At 42.9% G+C, this 22,040-nt stretch overlaps 1 protein-coding gene across 1 annotated transcript, besides 1 other annotated feature; it reads right to left on the bottom strand.

Annotated features, from left to right (window-relative positions):
* WNT8B (Wnt family member 8B) lies at positions 1,197-21,932 on the bottom strand. Its single transcript, NM_003393.4, has 6 exons — positions 21,705-21,932; positions 5,856-5,889; positions 4,929-5,067; positions 3,818-3,943; positions 2,887-3,029; positions 1,197-2,670 (listed from the first exon to the last, which is right to left on the bottom strand). The coding sequence occupies exons 1-6, from the start codon at positions 21,770-21,772 to the stop codon at positions 2,125-2,127; spliced, it is 1,056 nt and encodes a 351-aa protein (NP_003384.2). The 5' UTR covers positions 21,773-21,932; the 3' UTR covers positions 1,197-2,124.
* Positions 2,002-2,657: an enhancer, noted in NCBI's record as "H3K27ac-H3K4me1 hESC enhancer chr10:102242041-102242696 (GRCh37/hg19 assembly coordinates)". NCBI's record gives its function as "activates a minimal SCP1, AML or CMV promoter by ChIP-STARR-seq in naive H9 embryonic stem cells {active_cell/tissue: H9 hESC(naive)}" and the evidence as "EXISTENCE:reporter gene assay evidence [ECO:0000049][PMID:30033119]".
* Positions 21,933-22,040: the final 108 nt, after the last annotated feature.

Raw genomic sequence — 22,040 nt, 5'->3', positions numbered from 1 at the left:
CAATAACCTATGAAATAATGTTCTGGCGGCATGACGTATTTAGAGTGCTGACCTGGAGTTACCAAATATGAAGCACAATAGTTCTGCTTTTATGCTAAGAGACCTGGAGAATGTAGCTTTACTTTACAACATTGTGCTTTTAAATTTTCTAGCTGCCTTGCCAAACTTTCTTCGTGTACATTATAAAGTAATTCTGCAAAGTGGGACAGGTAGGTTAGTATATGCTGCTTCTTGATTAAGGAGAAAAGGTGAGTTGGGAGATTCAGGAGGTTCAGATAAAAGCAGAGGGAAGGCGTGAAGGGCCTTTTGCTGAGAAAGCTGGAAATGAAGCACTAAGAACACCTGAAAGGAAGTGTATCCCCGGTCAGGAAGGGGAAACTCTCTCCTCAGTAAGTGTTGGTAAGACCAGAAGGTGTGTGGGTGAGGCCAAGGGTTTGGGATCTGACCTGGCCATTGCCTTAGTTTGGAATACGGGAACCCTTGACTCTTACAGGTGAACCCCTAGAGTCTTGGCTTTTGTTGCCTGGAGCCAGCCACACTGCTTTTCCTACTCTGGGAGAGGAAGGTTGAGGTCGTCTAGCATCTGACCAGTTCTGCTCTAGAAGAGCTGCCCAGCCCCAGACCTGGGACTGTCCTAGGGCAAGGAAGCTGGCTGGGAAGCCCCTTGGGCTACAGAGGGTCTGTCAGGGATTGGTTCTTCCCTCCCCAAGGTCTTGCTCTGTTTCATAAACAAGTCCCTGCTGTACTCTCTGAGAATAAAACCAGAAGACTCAAGTACCACAAGCAGCAAGCTCATGGCTCTTGAGTGAATGTATTAGAAGATTTAAATAGATGATTTACTAATCCTTGGCAGCTTAGCCTCAATCCAGATAACTGCTTGGGCCACCAGGGAAGTGAGGCTTTAGGGAGGATGGTATCCTGCCAAGATGGGAGGGAGGAGAGAGCCTACAGGTTGTATCTGTTACCACAGCCCACCCGAATATCCTCAAGAATAAGTGCAGTACCTAGAAAAAGAGCACATATCACAATGACTGCAATAAATTAAGGTTCAAGGTGCTGAACTTCCTACTAAGCAACAGTTTCATTGCAGGAAGTTTACTCATTGAAGGAAGATATCCAGTGCTCTGAATCCTGCCTGTTTGAGAACCAGGTTAGTGAGAAGGAAGGGTCTCAGTTTCTCCTTCTTAGGACCTGCCTCTAGAGGTGCAGACCAGGATCTGAAGAGGAAAGTGGCTTTATTTACCTCAGTCTTGGCTCAGAGGAACAAAGATCCTTTGGAGAAGAAGAGGTAAAGTTGGTTGCTAGGAGGAAGTAGGTCAGGAGAAGGGAGAAGTTACCTTTAAAGGGTAGGAAATGACTGTAATCTGCCCTTAACGTATTTCCTAGACCTTCGGGGTATGTATCTGGAGTCCCTCGGGTTATTGTCTAGGAAAGTCATTGCCCCACTAGTAAAGTCCATTCATGATATGATACCATAGGGATGAGTAGCACCCTTGGTGTTCAAGTTAGCACTCCAGAGCTCCCTCTTCCATCTTCAACCTCTGCCTCTAGGAACCAACCCCAAAGACATGCTTTTCCGGGGCCAGTTTCCTCAGTTTTTCTGGGAAAGGAAAGGGAGAAGAGGAGAGAAAGCATTCAAGATTCCTGGGGAATCTGGCTCAGCAGGTAGCAGGGGAGGAGCTGTGCAGAAGAGAGGTGCAGCAGTGGGTGAGCCCTGGTAGCAGACAGTGGGCAAAAGGGCAAAGCTTTGACTTTACCTGGGTCCTGCGTGTCTGAGAAGGGTTCTTCCAGCGCCTAAGGCTTGATAGGCTAGGTCAGACATTAGGGCTGCTAGGAGAGGGGAGGAGGAACACCTGTTCTCCTAATCCAAGGAAGATCAGTAACTCAAAGCCTGAGTTCTCAGACCTAGGTGTGGCTGCGAGGATTCAGACAGAGCTCTAGGAGAGCACAGAGGAATTGGGGAAACAGGCTGGAAAGTGGCAAGCTTTGGAGAAATTGCAGTCTCTCCCTCTCAGGATCCCTAGGTCTGGGAGAGCGGGTTCCCCATTCCCTAGGTTCCACAATTACCGGGGTCTCTAAAGGAAGCCAAGAACCAGTGGGAAAAGGAGGGGGCAGAGGAAACCCTTAGGGTTTTCTCCCGGGTTTGTGCGCAGCGCCCCCCCGCGGCCGCTCTGCGCGGCTACAGAAGTACTTGGTGACCCTCCGGCGGCACTGCTCGCAGCGGACTGCGCAGCACCAGTGGAACTTGCAGTTGCAGCTGGACACGGTCTCGGCCCGGCGCTCCTCCACCGCCAGCCCGCAGTCCCCGCAGAGCCGGCGGCAGCTGCGGCGTTCCCAGCGACCCAGGGCCCGCCCGCGCCTTAGGCACTCTCGGCCTTCGGTGCCCAGCAGCCCTAGCGTTTTGTTCTCCAGGCAGTAGTCCGGGGAGTCCTCCAGGTGCACCAGCTCCCGGGTAGAGATGGAGCGAAAGGTGTCGGCGATGGCGCCGCGGCCGGCCGCGCTGTTGCCAGCACCCTGCAGCAGGTCCACCTTGAGTGCTGCGTGGTACTTCTCCTTCAGGTGCGCGCCCACCTCGCGGAACTCGGGCAGCTGCAGCCAACAGGTCTGCGTGGTGCAGCTGCCAGACACGCCGTGGCACTTGCACGTGCGTTTCATGGTGCCCTTCACCGCCTGGGGAGAGAGCTAGGAGTGAGAGGCCCCGGATTAAGCGCGTGGCGAGTTTAACTGCCCCTGTGGGAGTTGCGAGAAGTCTAGTTAGTCTACTGGGCCAGCCCACTTGGTACCTCATTTTGCCAATCTTTTAAATGAACTGAAGAGTTGTCCGCACCTGGAGCTGGTAGTGGATATAGCCAGCAGCTGCCTATTTCCAAGGGCTGCGGGACTCACCTTGCGGCCAGCCTCGTTGTTGTGCAGGTTCATGGCTGCCCGTGCATCCTGTCCTGTTTCCAGGGCATCGACAAACTGCTTGGAAATCGCCTCTCCGAAGCCCACATTGTCACTGCAGCCTCCCCACAGCCAGCCTTGTCCCCCTGGAAAAGTGCAGAGGGAGGACAGGTCATTGAGCAAGCGGGCGCAGAGCCTCCTGGGCTGCTGTTTCTAATTGGGTTGGGGGTGGGGGGGTCCAGGATAGGAGAGGATTAAGGTTGGGCGAGTGCCCTGTATCCAGATCAGTTGCCGTCTAGATTTGTTTTTGCCACTTTTACACGCCCACTTCCAGGTTCAGCCAATCCCCTGCTCAGGGCTCAACGACGTAAGTAGTTGCCGAGTGGATTCTTTGCAAGGTGCCAGTACACTCCTCTGCCAACAGTGCCTCTTCGCATGGGCAGAGGGTGCACGTGCCCTGCTGGTGATTGAGGTCCAGAAGGGACAAAATGGTGCCAAAAAGATGAGGAAAGCTCGAGCATTGAGGGGGAAAGAGGGGTACAATTGAAATATGGAACAACGATGTTGGAAATTGGTCAGGAGGGCTCAGGAGATTGGAGACAGCACTGGAGGTAAAGAGTGGAAAGTAGACGGGGATAGGCAACACGGAAGGAAGTTCCCCTTGTGTTTGAGAGAAGCAACAGAGGAATCCCCAGAGTGTTGTTTCTTTATTTTTATATTTAAATTAAGGAAACTACTCAATGGGAAAAGAAGGTTCTAAGCTACATTTAGCCTGGCTTGTCATTGTAGGGCTTGGGATCAAACTCGTTCACCCATCTTCCGCATGATTTTCTTCATATTTAGAAGAATACAGCTCTTCTTCACCCCCACCAGGCTTTTCATTCTTTATGTGCGTTGGCTGGCCTATGGTACCCATCCCTACATTACTACTCACCCAGTTGCCCGTTGCGGGAGTCATCACAGCCACAGTTATCAAAATCTCCAAGGCTGCAGTTTCTAGTCAGGGTGTACATGACTCCAGCAGAACTGATGGCATGCACAAATGCTGTCTCCCGATTGGCTAGCAGGAACCAAAAATCCAGAGTTAGAGGGAGGGGTTTCAGCTTAAAGAAATACCAGACATGCTACCTTTCTTTAATAACCATCATTATATCCTCTTTCCCTAGCTCCATCCTATTTCCCCATCTTTATTATTATTTTTTAACTTTTATTTTTTTGCAGAGAGTCGGTCTCACTATGTTGCCTAGGCTTGTCTCAAACTCTGGGCTCAGTCTTCCTACCTCGTCCTCCCAAAGAGCTTGGGATTACAGGCTTGAGCCACTGTGCCTGGCCTTCCCATCTTTATAGTGTATCTTACCCTCTTGCATGGTCTGCCCCATCCCTGGCCTTAGCCCTGCTCTTCTCACCTCCTGTCTTTTCAGGTCACACATTTTATGACCAAGTGGCTAGGGTACTGTTGACACACATGACTGGAAAGAGCCTGAGGAAGAAATGGGGAGGGAGATGAATCTGAAGGCTAGGTTGTAAAGAACCCATCCCCACTTCCTCCTGGAACACTTAGGGTCTAAGAGTCATGTGCAGTTAGTCTTGAAAAGAACCTCTGATTGGTAGCTCTTTCATTTACTGGCATGGCCACTCTTTATCTTCTCCATGGGAATCTGGTCTCCAAGTCACTCTCCACTTGCCCAGTATCTCTCTGCTGAGGAAGGGGCTAAGAGGTCTGAGGAATTATGACCCCTGCCTACCTCCTGATATTACTTACATTGTGAGGAGACCTTTAGCCAGCTGGGAGGCCAAGGATGGTATGGGATTGGGAGTAAGGCAAGATCCATTTGTTGAGCAATGAGAGTGTTGAGAAAGAAAGAAAAAACTCTACAGGTGGGAAAAAGGAAGTAGAAAAGGAAAAGAGAAGATCCTGGAGAGGGAGATGACCTAAGAGAAGAGAGCAGGTGAGGAATAAGGGTGTCGAGGAGGCAAGGGGCTATCCCTGGGGCTCTAACCTGTGACCAGAGGGTCCAGGGAGCTGTGGCTGAGGTTTTTCTTACCACTGCGAAGCCCACCATGGCTGGACAGCTGCAGGGCTCTCTCAGGGCAGTTCCAGCGGTCCCAGGCAAACTGATACTTGCATTCTTCAATACCACTCTGGGCACCAGCTGCCACACTGCTGGAGTAAATCAGGTAAGCCTGTAGGGACATAGGGGTAAAAATTCAGACTGAACTTAGGAGGCATTTACCCTAAACTGACCAAACAGCCCTCTTCCTGCTCACTCTCCCATCCCTCCAAAATAATGGAGTAAGCCTTTAAATATGCTGTCTCATTTGACATCACAAATAACTTGTGAAATAGGCACTATATTATAGATTAGGAAACTGAGGCCCAGGGAGTGAGCTAAAGTAATTTCCCCAAAGTCCCAGAGCTAGCAAATGGCAGAACTAGAAATGAAACTCAGTTTTATCAGACTCTAGTCCCTATTATCCTTTATTCACCTTTCTTCACTATACTATCCTGTCTCTCCAAAATGAGCCCAAATCACCTAATTCATGAAATTTAAGGAGTTCTCATCACATGACCATCTTAGAAAACAACATTTTGGAACTGAAAATGCCCATGAATGTAAAGATCATGTAGTACAATTCCAGCATTTTAAACATGGGAAACTGCATCCCACCACGGGGCACTGAGAAGGATGTGTGACTTTGCAGCCTGACACCTATAAAAGGCTGTTGACTTTTATGGCTCTGGAAATTCTAGCCATAAATTCAGTGCTCCTGCGTTCTTATCTTGGCGCTGACAGTGGTTTGCTATGTGGTTTTAGATGTGTCCCTAACACCCTCTGGGTCTCAATCTTTCTATCTGTAATGTATACAGCATAATAAAATATGTGGATATAATGAAAAATCTGCATTTATCATCTTTAGTCAACAGGCTAAGATTAGTGAAATCCATATCAATTAATGGAATTTGTTCTTACCTTTGGACCAGTCATCAGGAAATTGTTCACCGACCTATAAGGGAAAAAAAAAACAAAAACAGAATATAATGCAGAGACACCAACTTGTTTCTGCTTCCAAGAGTGGTAAGAATTACTTCAGCACATGTCATTAATAGGAAGAAAGGGAAACTAGTTTTACCCAGGAAACACTGTGCATAACAAACCTACTAAAGATGATTTACAGCCAGGTGGGGTGGCTCATGCCTGTATTCCCAGCACTTTGGGAGGCTGAAGCAGGTGGATCACTTGAGGTCGGGAGTTTGAGACCAGCATGGCCAAACATAGTGAAACCCCGTCTCTGCTAAAAATACAAAAATTAGCGGGGCATGGTGGCAGGCGCCTGTAGTCCCAGCTACTCAGGAGGCTGAGGCATGAGAATCACTTGAACCTGGGAGGTGGAGGTTGCAGTGAGCCGAGATTGCGCCACTGCACTCCAGCCTGGGCGGCAGAGCAAAATTCTGTTTCAAAACAAAAAAAAAAAAACACACACACACATAAAACTTAGTAGAAAAAACATGAATAAAAGTAGTATCATTTCCTTGCATTGTTAAAGCCAGGTAAAATTTCCAGTACCATATACCTGATAGTGATGGTTGCTGATTATTCTGCCATGAAGTGGGGGAGAGAACTAGCATTAACTCCTGACTATGTTCCTTATGCTCTACTCTCGGTATTTTACATGTTGATCTTGTTAAATCCTTACTGTCTCAGGCATTATTATCTCTATTTTGCAGACAGGAAATCTGAGACTCCAGAAAAGTTAAACGTGTGTTCAGGCTCACCCAGCTAATAAGTGAGTGAAGCAGGATTTGAATCCACATTCATCTGACTCCGTGGGACGTTAGAAGGATACTTCTCTAATTAGGAAGAGGTAAACAAACAGTGGAATATCTCTCTAGGGATTGAGTCATAATAAAACTCTAAAAATAAGTAATGCGATTTGGAAAAATGGTTTGGCTGCCCCTTTTAAAACTAAAAATGGGCTGGGCACAGTGGCTCACGCCCATAATCCCAGCACTTTGGGAGGCTGAGGCAGGTGGATCACCTGAATCCAGGAGTTCAAGACCAGCCTAGGCATCATCATGGCAAAACCCCGTCTCTACTAAAAAAAAAAAAAAAAAATAGCTAGGCATGGTGGTATGCGCCTGTAATGCCAGCTACTCAGGTGGCTGAGGCACAAGAATCGCTTGAACCTGGGAGGCAGAGGCTGCAATGAGCTGAGATTGCACCACTGCACTCCAGCCTGAGCAACAGAGTGATATTCTGTCCCAAAAAAAAAACAAAAAAAAACTAAAAATGAACTTGTCATATGACTTAGCAATTGCACTCTTGGGCATTTATCCCAGAGAAATAAAGACTTACTTTCACTCAGAAATTTGTACCTGGATGCTCATAGCCACTTTATTAATAATAGTCAAAAATTGGAAACTACCCAATGTCCTTCAAAGGGTAGTTTAAAAAACTGTGGCCGGGTGCGGTGGCTCACGCCTGTAATCCTAGCACTTTGGGAGGCCAAGGCAGGCAGATCATGAGGTCAGGAGATCGAGACCATCCTGGCTAACATGGTGAAACCCTGTCTCTACTAAAAATACAAAAAATTAGCCAGGCGTGGTGGTGGGCACTTGTAGTTCCAGCTACTCAGGAGGCTAAGGCAGGAGAATGGCGTGAACCTGGGAATGGAGCTTGCAGTGAGCCAAGATCGCGCCACTGCACTCCAGCCTGGGTAACAGACCGAGACTCCAACTCAAAAATAAAATAAAATAAATAAATAAATGAATAAAAAATAAAAAACTGTGGTACATTCATACCATGGAATATTACTCAGCAATAAAAAGGAATGATACGTTGATACATGCAACAACTTGGATGAACCTCAAGGAAGTTACGGAGTGATTAAAGTCAGTCTCAGAAGGATACATACTGCATGATTCTATTTACATAACAATAGTGAAATAATAAAAATTATATAATTATAGAGCTGGAGGACAGATCAGTGGTTGCCAAGGATTTGGGATGGGGGATGGATGTGGCTGTAAAGAGTAACATGAGAAAGTCTTGGGGGAATGGCCAAATGTCTTTACTGTGGTTATACAAGGCTACACATGACAAAATTGCATAAAGCCACATACATGAGTACATGTACACACAAGTGCATGTAAAAATGGTGAAGTCTGAATAAGCTTCATGGATATCGTACTAACGTTGTAAGATGTTCACACTGGGGGAGGTTGGGGCAAGTGTACATGGGACTTCCCTGTACGTTTCTTCCCTGTACATGTCTTGCAACTCCATAATTATCTAAAAATAAAAAGTTAAATATATATGTACATATACACATGATCTGCAGGGCTAAAGACTTGGAGAATGACTTCAGTATAGGCATTTGAAAATCAGAATCTATTATCTATTATCTTTGTTTTTCCATTATAATGTGAGAAAGTAATACGGGAATCATTATGTATTGTTCCATGCTGGTGTACCCCTGCAATTCTGAAGGCCAATAAGATGCTGAACATCACCAGAAAGGGGATTGGAAATGAAATAGACCAAGAAAGTTTCTTGTCAGGCCAAAAGAGCTTGGCTGACTTTCTTCATAAAAAACACATACAACACCAAAAATGTGAGTAGTTTTTGAAAACCAGTATTAACAAACTAAGAGGCTGCCATATGAGATGAAAAAGATTCTAAACGAGTTGTAATAGAATTTTAGAAAATCAAAAATACTATGAAGTCTATCAAAACTAAGGCCTATTTTTTTTTTTAGACGGAGTCTCACTCTGTCACCCAAGCTAGAGTGGTGCCATCTCGGCTTACTGCAACCTCTGCCTCCCAGGTTCACACCATTCTCCTGCCTCAGCCTCCCGAGTAGCTGGGACTACAGGCACCTGCCACCATGCCCAGCTAATTTTTTTTTGATTTTTTTTTTTTTGTATTTTTAGTAGAGATGGGGTTTCACTGTGTTTGCCAGGATGGTCTCGATCTCCTGACCTCGTGATCTGCCCTCCTCGGCCTCCCAAAGTGCTGGGATTACAGGCGTGAGCCACCGCGCCCAGCCACCAAGGCCTACTTTTTAAAGCTTGGTAGGCAACCTTAATTCAACTGAAAAGAAGCACTGCTTGATCAGGTGTAGTAGCACCAGCAAAACACAAAAATACAATTCAGAATGACTTAAATGAATTCACAATTTCCAAAGCCATTATAGGTTTGGACATGAATTTCTGATCCTTAAAGACATGTCAGAGGAGTCAGCCAGGCCCCTTTGCTTTGGGGAAAGGGGCCTGAGCTTGTTCCCACTCAGAAAGGCACTTTTTATGTTAGGAATAACATTCAAAGATTTTGGACATTACCAAGCCTGACAGAGCTAGTTCCCATTTTCCATAAGACAGAAATTATCAGGAAAGAAAACAAAACAACAAAGCAAATTGAGTGACAAAGAAAATGCTTTGCCATAGCTGGGGTGAAGAGTCTTCCTGTGAAAGGAGTCTAAGCCGGAACTACAGGGAGTAATAGACAGAGATTCTAGAGAATTCTTTCCTGGAAGATCCTACAATATGCAAAGATTTGTATGATATCCAGGTCAAGCCCAACTGATCAATGAATGAGACTTAATTGAGCACCTGTCATGGAACAACACTATAGGCCTTATTTGGACAACATTCCTATAAAGTGACTTGTGTTTTTGTTTTTTTTGTTGTTTGTTTTGTTTTGTTTTTGGAGACAGAGTCTCACTGTATCTTGCTCAGGCTTGAGTACAGTGGTGTGATGTCGGCTCACTGCAGACTCCACCTCCCGGGACTTGTGTTTTTCTGTTTGTTTGTTTTTTGAGACGGAGTCTTGCTCTGTCTTGCCCAGATTGGAGTGCAGTGGCATGATCTCGGCTCACTGCAGCCTCCGCCTCCCGAGTTCAAGCAATTCTCCTGTCTCAGCCTCCTGAGTAGCTGGGATTACAGGCGTGTGCCACCACACCCAGCTAATTTTGTAATTTTTGTAGAGATGGGGTTTCACCATGTTGGCCAGGCTGGTCTCGAACTCCCAATCTCAGGTGATCCGCCCACCTTGACATCCCAAAGTGCTGGGATTACAGGCGTGAGCCACCACGCCCAGCCAACTTGTGTTGTTAACCTCCGAGTTATTTGCAGACATATTTGAACCTTATGGCTAGCTTGTTCATATCCAAAATATCCTATATTAAGAAAAGACTCAGCTGGGTGCAGTGGCTCACGCCTGTAATCCCAGCACTTTGGGAGGCCAAGGCAGGCAGATCTTGAGGTCAGGAGTTTGAGACCAGCCTGACCAAAATGGTGAAACCCCGTCTCTACTAAAAATACAAAAATTAGCTGGGCGTGGTGATGCACCCCTGTAATCCCAGCTACTCAGGAGGCTGAGGCAGGAGAATCACTTGAACCCTGGAGGTGGAGTTTACAGTGAGCCAAGATCGTGCCACTGCACTCCAGCCTGGGCGACAGAGCGAGACTCTGTCTCAAAAAAAAAAGAAGACTGTCCTGTAGTGAGTACCAAAGGAGGAGGATCTTGTTCTTGGTCAATGAAACAATGACATGATTTCCTTTTGGGGGTAAAATATAGATTGCAGAAAACATAGTGAGTATTGTGAGAAGATGCAAAGAGAACCAAAAAGGAAGGAATTTAAGTGTTTGTATGGGTGCCACCTCTATGTGGCAGTTATGTGATTGAAGGAAAGATGCTAACAAACACTGAAGATGTAAATTTAAGATATAAATTTTGTTTAACAAATGGAGGCTGCTATATAGACAGAACATGGTAAAACAGTATACTCCCAGATGGAGGTACAAGCTTCCCATTTCCCATGAGGTTGTACAGTTGCTGACAATATTACCCAGATTCAGGACCATTCAAAGGGTTCATGACTTCCTGAACCCTCCCAGCTCTTCTCAGACATTTGCTTGAACTCTAGACTTGCATATCCAACTGTATTCTTGGCATCTCTCCTTCAGTGTTTAATACGCATCTCAAACTTAACGTGTCCAAAACTGAACTCCTGATCCTCGCTGCCATCACCCAAGCCTACCCCTTCTGTAGTCTTCTCCATCTAAGTAAAGGACTGTTCCTCCTAGTTGCTCAGACAAAAATCATGAAGAGTCACCTTTTTTTTTGTTTTTTAAGACAGAATCTTGCTCTGTTGCACAGGCTAGAGTGCAGTGGCGCCATCTTGGCTCATTACAACCTCCACCTCCTGGGTTCAAGCAATTCTTGTGCCTCAGCCTCCCAAGAAGCTGCGATTACAGGCATGCACTACCATGTCCAGCTAATGTTTGTATTTTTAGTAGAGATGGGGTTTGGCCACGTTGGCCAGGCTGGTCTCAAACTCCTGACCTCAAGCAATCCGCCTGCCTCAGCCTCCCAAAGTGCAAGATTACAGGCATGAGCCACCATGTCCAACCCATAATAGAATATTTTTTGACCATATAAAGGAATGAAGTACTGGATACAAGCTACAACATGGATGACCCTTGAAAATATCATCCTGAGTGAAAGAAGCCAGACACAAAAGGCCATAAATGATATGATTCTATCTATATCAAATGTCCAGCATAGGCAATCTCATGGAAACTGACTAGATTCACAGTTTCCAGGGACTGAGGGGAGGAGGAACGGGGAGTGAATGCTAATAAATAAAGGGTTTCTTTTTGAAGTGATTAAAATGTTCTAAAATGGATTGTGGTGAAGGTTGCACAAATCCATGAATTGGCTAAAAAAAATCATTGATTTGTTAAAGGGTGCCTTTTATAGTATGTAGATTATATTTCAATAAAGCTATTATTTAAAAATCTCACTTATTCTTGAATAAGTACCAGTGCAGAAGCCACAACCAGCACACCTTGAAGCCTCACAGCAACTTTTCTCTGTTTCATATGAAGGTTTCCCTTTCCTCTTTTATACTTAAGTATGGGCTGCCTTAATTATCTCTGTATACCCTCCAGTTCCTAATCTAGTACTTTGAACATAGTAAGTGCCTATAAAAGTGAATTGAATACAAGGATTTTGAAATAAAAAAGATAGACCATCAGATGCAGCAGAAAATGTAAGGAGAAAAAGAACTGCAAAAAGATTTTGAGAAATATAGGAAGCCTGTGGCAAGCCAGTGCTCCCACTAATTTTTTAGTGTAGTGAGCAGATGACTGTGCCACATTAGGAGATGATCAACTACAAGAGTAACAGAGTGAACACTGAGCATATGTACACAGAGGTTAGTGCTATAATCAAACCTTTAGCAAAGTTAATCTGACACACTTAGTGCTGTGCATAATTGTTATTGTGCTTCATAGTAATTAGGCATAAGTGGTAAGCGATTTACATAAATAACTGTGGTTAGTTGTGCTTTTACACTGCCAAGTCAAAATTTTACAATTGTTTCTTCTTCTTGTGTTAGCTGTCCAGTATACGTGTGTGTGTGTATACACTGATATAAAGTTTAATCATATCATGTAATAATAACTAGCATTTATTCAAGTATGTGAGGAACTCTTCTAAGTGCTTTACCTGTATCATCTTTTTAAATTTCCGTAGCAACTCCATGGGGTGGGTACTATACTTTTCACTGAGTGTTTATTCTGTGCACACGAAGTACTTTTATTTATTTATTTAGAGAGAGGGACTTGCTCTGTTGTCCAGACTCAAGAAATCTTCCGGCCAGGTGTGGTGGCTCATGCCTGTAATCCCAGCACTTTGGGAGGCTGAGGCGGGCGGATCATGAGGTCAGGAGATCGAGACCACGGTGAAACCCCGTCGCTACTAAAAATACAAAAAATTAGCTGGGTGTGGTGGCGGGTGCCTGTAGTCCCAGCTACTTGGGAGGCTGAGGCAGGAGAATGGCGTGAACCCAGGAGGCGGAGCTTGCAGTGAGCCAAGATCGCGCCACTGCCCTCCAGCCTGGGCGACAGAGCAAGACTCCATCTCAAAAAAAAAAAAGAAAAAGAAATCTTCCCACCTCAGCCTCCCGAGTAGCTGGGACTACAGGCACATGCCACCATGCTGGCTAATTTTTGTATTTTTAGTAGAGATGGGGTTTCATAATGTTGGCCAGGCTGGTCTTGAACTCCTGACCTCAAGTGATCTGCCCATGTCAGCCTCCCAAAGTGCTGGGACGACAGGGATGAGCCACCGCGCCCGGCATATTTTTATTTTGTATTTTTTGTAGAGACAGGGTCTCGTTGTGTTGCCAGGACTGACCATGTACTTTGAAGTGTTTTACATATTTTAAGTTCATATAATGATCACAATTATATGAGGTAGAAACTATTATATCTTTCATTTTACAGAAACAGAGACTGAAACATAGAGTGGCCACCCAGCCTCACACAGCTAGGTAAGTGGTGAAGCCAGGGCTGGAGCCTAGGCAGTCCTACTCTAGAGCATGCACTCTACCTGCTGTGCTTTTCTGCAGCCCGTTTTTCCCTTGCTCTTATTCCCACTGGCTAATCCAGGACTCCTAATTCCTGAAAAATTCTTGGTAAATATTTCTGAGCGGCCTAAGCCATGTTTTGCACACACTCATGAATACACTCAGTTAATTATCACATTGTCTCTGCTACTTTTTTATCCTTTCATTACACCAGCCTACTGCTTCTATGTCCACAAAACAACCACATCTGCCAGGGCACAGGCCCTGCTTTATCTGGGTAGCACGACATCCCCTGGGCACATTTTCTAGGCACTGTTGCTGCTCACACTGGGTTCTATGTATAAAAGAGTAGGGAGAAACAAATGCTAAAGGACACTGTAGGCAGAGGTGGGGAGGGGATACAGTGTGTGGCTTCATGACAGGGATATGTTTTGAGAAATGTGTCGTTAGGTGATTTTGTCACTGTGCAAACATCATAGAATGTACTTATACAAACCTAGATGGATAGCCTCCTATACACCCATGCTATATGGTAGAGCCTATTGCTCCTAGGCTACCAGCCTATACAGCATGTTATTGTACTGACTACTGTGGGCAATTATAACATGATGGTAAGCATTTGTGTATCTAAACAAAACATAGGCCTGGCATGGTGGCTCACGCCTGTAATCCCAGCACTTTGGGAGGCTGAGGCAGGCAGATCACCTGAGGTTGGGAGTTTGAGACCATCCTGGCTAACACGGTGAAACCCCATCTCTACTAAAAATACAAAAATTAGCTGGGCGTGGTGGTGTGGACTTGTAGTCCCAGCTACTTGGGAGGCTGAGGCAGGAGAATCCGCTTGAACCTGGGAGGCGGAGGTTGCAGTCAGCCGAGATTGCGCCACTGCGCTCCAGCCTAGGCGACAGAGTGAGACTCTGTCTCAAAAAATAAAATAAAACAAAATAAAATAGAAAATAAGAAACATTCTGAATATGAATCTGCAGAATTTGATATTTTCCTCTTACCACCCAGGACTTTCATCTTAGTGCCCTGTGATTTTGTTTTGTTCTGCCTCTCATCACTTTCCCCACAAATCTTTACGTAGTATTTCTGGCTTCTCCCCAACCTTTAATCCCATCTCTTAATGTCCATAAAATGTCTCTGAGTCATCAGCTGGGCATGGTGGCTCATGCCTGTTATCTCAGCATTTTAGGAGGCCAAAGTGGGCCGATTGCTTGAGCCCAGGAGTTTGAAACCAGCCTGGGCAACAGAGTGAGACTCTGTCTCTACGAAAAATAAAAATAAAAATCATAATAAAGATGGATAAATGGGATGGAGCTCAGAAAAGAGGATATAATGATGATATTTTAAAAAGGCAATGAGACCCTGTCTCTACAAAAAATACAAAACTTAGCCAGGTATGGTGGCATACACTATAGTCCCAGCTACTCAGGAGGCTGAAGTGGGAAGATCATTTGAGCTAGGGAGGTCGAGGCTGCAGTGAGCCAAGATTGTACACTCCAGCCTGGCTGACAGAGTGAGATCCTGCCTTAAAAAAATTGTCTCTGAGTCATGAGGCTCAGTTTGGTCTACTTTAGGAGAGAGACATCTGATTACCGAAATTGGAGTGCTGGCCCAGGGGAAAGGAGAAGTGGTAGTGAATGAATGTGAACTATAGATCTCCATCTGAAGATTTAGCACAGAAGGCATATAGGACAAAGGGCTAAAGGCTAAGGGGAGGGTATGGAGTAGGGAAACTGCCAGGGGCTATAGCTGGAAGGTTCTCCAGTGATGCAGCTTTCTCATAGAATGAGTTCTGACAGCAGCTTTTCAGTCCATAGAACTCCCAAGATGCCTTGGGCTGGGGAGAGCCCAAAGATAGCTCTTCTGAGTGAGTTTCCTTGTGACTGTCTCTGTTCCACAGCATCCACACATCTGACCTGTAGAACACATGTGCACGAGCAGACACAAAGGTATGTTCACACGTGTGCCCACACACACAGTTACACAGAAAGTAGGTCTTACTAATAACTGTGAAATAATATCCCGTTGGTCCCCAAATTTTCTTCACTACCTTATCTGATAATACCTGAGGGGATTGAACTTGGAACTATTCACTGTACAATTTGAGAGAGTTAAGTTTAAAATGCAAATATTTTTCAAGGGTGAAAAGCATGACTAATTCTTACCTATTCCAAAGTATTGAAATCAGGCTTTCCTATTTAACTAGGGGAAGGGATTAGGAGGTAGAAGTTACAAGGTATCTGAAGTCTTAAAGGGAAGAGAAGTATTCAGACTTTCAAAATCAGATTTCCTCCTACTTAAAAATATGTCAAGAGGGAACAAAGCTGGTATCAGTGGAGGGATCTATTTAAGTATGGCAATAGAACACAAGCCAGATTGCAGAGAGTGAGGAGTTATGACATGAAAGTAGCTAGTGCTAACTGGTTGGGGGAGGATGGCATTGAAAGAAAAAAGAGAAAGGAGAAATGATTGCAGTAGAGATTGGGGCCAGAGGAAGGTATTTTTCAAGATGAGTATAGAAAGAAAAATTCAGGAATGTGTAGCTTTTGGTCATATTCCCATAACTATTTCACCAAATTAAAGTCCATTTCTTTCTTCAAAGGGAGTTCAGCCCTGTAAATCATTCTAAAAATGTTTTTTATAAATGTGAATTTTTTATATAATGATGCAGTGCCCTAAAATATGAAAAGAGAAAACAAGTCTTGTAAGCCAATTGACAAAAAAAATTTTTTAAAGTTAAACAGATGTGACAATCTTAGCAGTAGTCCTTATATTAAAATGTATATTAAAATCCCACATTATCGCAAATCCGGCCCTTGCCAAACAATTGTTAGCAAAGGCCATGTAATAGCCCACAGGACAACTCTGTACCATGGATCTTTGCTAAAGAAGCTCAGGCAGATTCCTTCACAAGCAAAGCACAAATGTTCGGGGGATCATCTTTTTCCCTGCAACTGATACGTCATTTGTATTCCAGGATATTTTATAGAGTGATAGGCTATCTTCCCTGTCCTCATTTCTTTCCTTCTTTATGTATTGTAGCAAGTGCTGCTGAGAAACGCTAAGCTACAGAAAAGCACTTCAGCACTTAGCATCTAAATGAGGACTGTGGCAGGGATAAGCTATACTCATGCTCCTTTCCTTGGTCTCTAAGTGAGAGCTGCTAAGGAACAGCTCAAGCCACCATTCCCAGAAAGCCTGGGATCACGGGAACTTTTTCCACAGTCGTTATGGAGGCAGATAATTCCATTTTGTTTTCTGATCTTGTTGCCTTGGTCCCTGCAGTATAGACTTTAGAAAACATTTATGTTCTCAGTTGCATCGATGGAAACAATACCAGTTTATATCAGTATCAAGAAGGTGGGTGTACATGGTAACTCCAAGAATTATCCTGTAAAATAACTAGGTGAACAGCTTAAGGTTGGAAAATTGACAGGCTTTGGCACTTTAGTGCCATTTTTACTGCTTAATGGAATTAATCCAAATAGATGGTAAAATGTTCTCTCCTCAATCTGATCCAACCATCAATTTCTACTGCCTTTGCTAATTAACCACAGCTCCAATAGAAATAAACACAAACATGTATTTGAATGACTTATTCCCTTTTGCTAATCTGTATTCTTGATCTTCTCCTAAGGGCAATGGGAGAAATGTACAATGTTCCCCAAACTTCATTCTAATTACTGGCCTGAATCTCTCAGACACAGGACAGATAATCCTTTTGCTATCCCTCTTCTTCCTGTTTTGAACCATGGTAGTACTTGGAAGATTCAGACTAAGAGAATATGCAGTTAAAAATGCTACAGAAAGTATAGGTGAAACATGATTGGTCAGAGATTGATAACGGTTGAAGCTGAGTTATTGGGGTTTGTTATATATGCTGTTCTCAACATTTGTAAAAACATGTTTTTCCCATAGTATGAAAATTTTAAAACAAAACCAATTATTCTGAAAAGCAATAATCTATGGAATCTGGGCTCCACCAGATGCCTTGGATTAAGGTGAGGAAATACCAGACAGGATAACGTGGACAATCTATTGATTCACTACTTAGCGTCCTGGATAATGGAACCTTCAAAGTGTGATACGATAAACCTAAAGAACCTGACTACAGAAAAAGGACTGAGATTTAGAGCAGCAAATGGTAATTGCAGTTTTGAATGAAGGGGAAATTCCTCCTAATGTAGGGTGGTGTAAATTTGGCCTGGAGAGTATAAGAATTTCATCTATGGAGCTGCATAGAAAGACTGACCTATTAGCCCTCTTATAGGGTCTTATTGGGACTACTGGAATATAGCCCCATAATGTGCTGGTACCATAGGATGCTGAAGTTGCGAAAACAACCTATTTTTAAAAAGCGAGTTTGGACTGGTCAGATGATGGTGAATTTAAATGATCCCCTTATGATCTGATTTTCTCTTGGCTTGGAGAAAACTCTAACCTAAGAAGCATACAGAGAAATGAAATGATCAATAACAGGGGCTTACAATAAAGATTGAGAAAAACAAACCATAAAAGTTTGGCTCATAATGAGACTGAAGCATCTGTCCAAAGTGGATGGTAGTTTCCGTTGAGAGGTCCTGGGAGTGCAGGTGTATTTCAAGTGGGAGGCAATGGGGAATGTTATTTATGTGACCCAAGCTCAGTGTTTCCCTCAGCTGTTAACCTAGCCTGATCTTTTACTGAGTAAGAAAAAAAAAATCCACTTTCTGAAAAATAAAGATTTATCCTAAGAAAAATTATATTGACCTCATTCTCTAAGCCATATGAATTCTCCCCCACTTTTCTGATGGAAATAGACAAGCATCGTTGGAGCCCAGAAAAAAAGGAATTTTATTAATAGTCCCAAGAGATAATAGTATCACCCAATATAGAGCAGCATTAAACCAATTTTCCCAGCTGGGAAAAAGAAAAAAAAAAGGAATATCTTTCCATGGAAGGAGAGGGTTTAGATTAAAACTCCTTTTCTTCTGGTCCTTTTTTAATGCCTCATTTGTCACTATGTAATAGCACACAAAGGAGATCCTTCTTTGTGTCATGTTGTCATCCACCAAAAACTAAAACTAAAACAAAGATGCATCTTAGAGCATCCTTCTTGTCACTCACACAAACTGGTTTCATAACAAGAGCTGTAATGAAGTGTCTTTTCCCAGGATACTCACAGCCTTTGTTGTTATTAATAATTATAATAATAATAGTTATTGTCTTTCATGACAAGAGAAATAGAGATTCTGGAAAGAAACACATGGGGCTCAAGTTGTGGAGGCCTTCATTGATAAACCTGGGAATTAAACTTCTCTGGTTATGTCTCAGAGCCCTCAGGCCTTCCTACAGTGCAGCTGCTGATCTAGCCCACCTCAGAGCTACTCCACAAATCCCAGCTTTTTTTTTAATGGATCAGGCACTTTTTTTTATGAACCAAGGATGCTATTAAGTCACTCTTTTATACTGGTATTTTTTTTTCCAGATTCCAAAGCAGTTCCTCACACCTTACTTTTTATTTCTTTAACTTCAGGGATTCCCAGCGTCTTTGAGGATAAGAATCCTCCCCTATCGTGACAGTTTTAGTGGATCTTCACTTGATCATATATGGTTTTTTTTAATCTGTTAGTGGGAAAAATTCAACATGGCAAAAACTTATGACAGAACCCCAGTATGAATTCAGTAATTTTTAAGTGAGTTTGTATTTTATTGTTCATAAAATACACCTAAAAGTAGTAGAACATAGTGTGGAGATCAATAATTTCAGCTTTATGCAATGCTTGGTGAGAATATGGATTCAAAGACCTTCCTCCAATAACTGATTCCTTTGCCAATCAGGAGTCCCACATGTCATCATCAGATGAGATTTCAAGAGCCATAGAAAGGTTACTCTATGAGATGCATGTAGAGGACCAAAAGATGATGTTTTTCAAAAGCTGCCATAAAATCCAATGATTTTAGGTAAATTCTTGCCCTACTGCAGAAGAGAAATGGACCCTGTTTAAATTCCTGCTGCAGACCTTTGGAAAGAAGTAGAGGCGGTGACTTCTGTTGAAGAATGAGAGCAGAGCTATAGTTTACTTCTGTATCCCAGGGCATCCTTCTGATTTGGTGACTGAGTTAGGTGGGGAGAGAGTGAGAAATGAACAGAACTGGGTAAGACCCACTGTCATTATGACATATCATTTGGAGTAAAATGGGGCCAACCAGTTAAGGTAAAACACTTTCTAGGCCTGCTCATTCCAGATGAGTAAGTGCATTGGAAGGAAAATCAAATTGGTTCATCTCTGGCCACCATTATAATCATCATCATCTGCTTGGCTTATCATGCATTCTCATTCTCTATCTTTGGAGCCATAAGGATTAAGACAAACAAATTCAAAGAAAATAATTTTCTCAAGTTACTAAAAGACAGTTCTCCTTGGAAGTGTCCCAACTATAAAAAACTGTGGCAAATACTTTTCAAAGAAATCATCTTGTACTGATTTACCTAGTAAAACTGCATATTATAGGTGAATGTCATCATTATTCTCTCCTTTTCAAGCCCAGGAATTTCTGCTGATGGACTCTTTTAGATAGTAATTTCAGGCAGGCCTACAATTGAACAGCCAAGCAGAAATTGTGGTTCTCTATTTGTTAAATGCTTTTGAGGTCCTTACATAAAAGGTTGATAATGAAGTATTAAGAGAAACATTTCAAAGGCTGTGGTTGGTCAAATTTCTCTGCATGGCATAAAGGGGAAGATGACCTTATGCAAAACCGTGATAGTTTCATTAGAAGCATAATCAACGTTTAATGTTAAATTTAAAAATCACTTTTCAAATGCCACCACAAACAGATTCTTGGTGAAGTACAAATGTTTAATTTAAATTGGGGCTTATAGGAAAAAGCAATTAAAATCTAATTGTATTATAAAGGAGATTTGTACATTTTCTCCTCAAAGTCAGGCAAGGCGAGAAGGGCTCTTAAACCCTGTTTTCTTAAATTAGAACTTTCTTTCACATCTCTTTTTCCTTTTTTCTTTTTGAATCCAGACACTTGAATTTGGACAGACAAGCAACCCAGCCACCTTTCAGTGTGGCTGTGTCAGTATCGGAATGAAATGAACATGACCCCCTCCAGCAGGGAAGGGAACACACAGTAAAGGTATTTTTTATAGAACAATTCTTCACACCGCCCTGGTGACTAGGGAAGGGAATCTCGTGTTTCTCTTTTGCTGATACTGAATCAGCTGAAGAATACCATGAACATCAGTAGAAATGCTCTGAAATAGTCTCCTCTCCCTTTTGTCTTTTTGTTCTCATGAGGGGGAGAGAAGAGAGACCTTTTTTTTAACATTGAAATATTTAATTAAAATGCCAATTAAAAATGGACTAATTGGTGGTTCTGCTTATAATCAGAAATGTTGCAAATTATTGTATTAACTTGCAAATAGTTTTATGAAGTTGGCATACTTCCTATCAACACTCCTATAAAGACGGCTACACTCATTTATGATAAAAATGTATTTTCAATTCTCAAAGGAAGCTTATCTCAGCAAAGAAATTTCTTTTCCTGCTTCCTCAACAGTTTATGTAGCAATTGGATTTATATCTTTGTTAAATAGATGGTCAAAATGAGAGCTGATGAAGAGAGAGACTGAGCTCATATCTGAACTGGAGAGAAACTCCGAACACCCTAGCAACCTGCATTCTGTATGTTATTGTGTACTGGTGTATTTGCTAATGAACAGTTGCATGTATAGATAGTTTATGTGGTTTCCAAGAGCTAAATGAGAATGGTGATGATATTCTTTAGCATTTGTGTTTATAATTTACAAAGCACTTTCATATACGTTATCTGATTTTCTGAACAATTTAGAAATATTTGTAAATTGAACAAATTAAATAAATTTCTCGAGACGTTTAGATTTCTAAAATATCTGGTTTCAAACATGTTTGTTAACCCAATGCCTGCTTAGTGGTTCAAATAAAATTTTTTATGTCTAGGAAATGATAATTTGAGCAATTACTTAGAATATCCTGAAAAAAAAAATAAAGTCAGAAAGTACAAAGTAAGATCCCATTGAATTTTGTCTCCAGACTTTACCTCAAGATCAGATTCAACACACGGTAGAACTTGCTTTGAACTACCTTCCTCCTCTCTACAATGCTGACATCAGGATTTCGTGAAAAGGGCTGCTGTCCATTTACCCCCAAATCACTTTGGGGGAATATTTGTGGAATAGCAATTTATAAAAATAGGAACCCCCGCTCCCATCATTTAGTCCTTTATTGGTAGGGGTCCTAAAGATTCACTAAAATCAGCCATAAATTTAGGAAGAGCCCTACCCCATAGAACAGTTTTTCCTAGGAGAGCTATCAAGGCTTCCTACATTTCTGGAAATGAAATGAGCTTTACCCAACACATTACATACACTTACCTATTCCCAGCTCCAGGTAAGAGTCCAGGTTACTTACCAGCTGTGGCTGAGTTGGAGGACACAGGTGAAAAGACAGATGTACACAGAAGGCTTTGAAAGAAACATAATCCTCTGGAGTAACAGCTAGAGAAAATTCCAAAAAACTGGGAGATGGGTAAGCAAGACGGAGAAATATTCTCCTCAGTGCCAGTGGGATGGAATTCTCAAAGCCCAACTTCCTTGGTGTGTAAGCGATCCCAAACAGAGTTAAGGGGAGGTGAAATGGAGCTGCCAAACGTCCAAAGAAGAGATTATCTACTTAATTAAAGTTTTTTTTCCCCTCTAAGTCCTTCAGCCAATCAGAACTCAAGTGCCAGAGAAAGATTGAGTCGAT

The sequence above is a fragment of the Homo sapiens genome, chromosome 10 (genome assembly GCF_000001405.40).
Source record: "Homo sapiens chromosome 10, GRCh38.p14 Primary Assembly".
Taxonomy (NCBI): Eukaryota; Metazoa; Chordata; class Mammalia; order Primates; family Hominidae; genus Homo; species Homo sapiens.
Note: the sequence above shows the minus strand (reverse complement) of the source record. Positions and strands in the feature narration are given on the sequence as shown.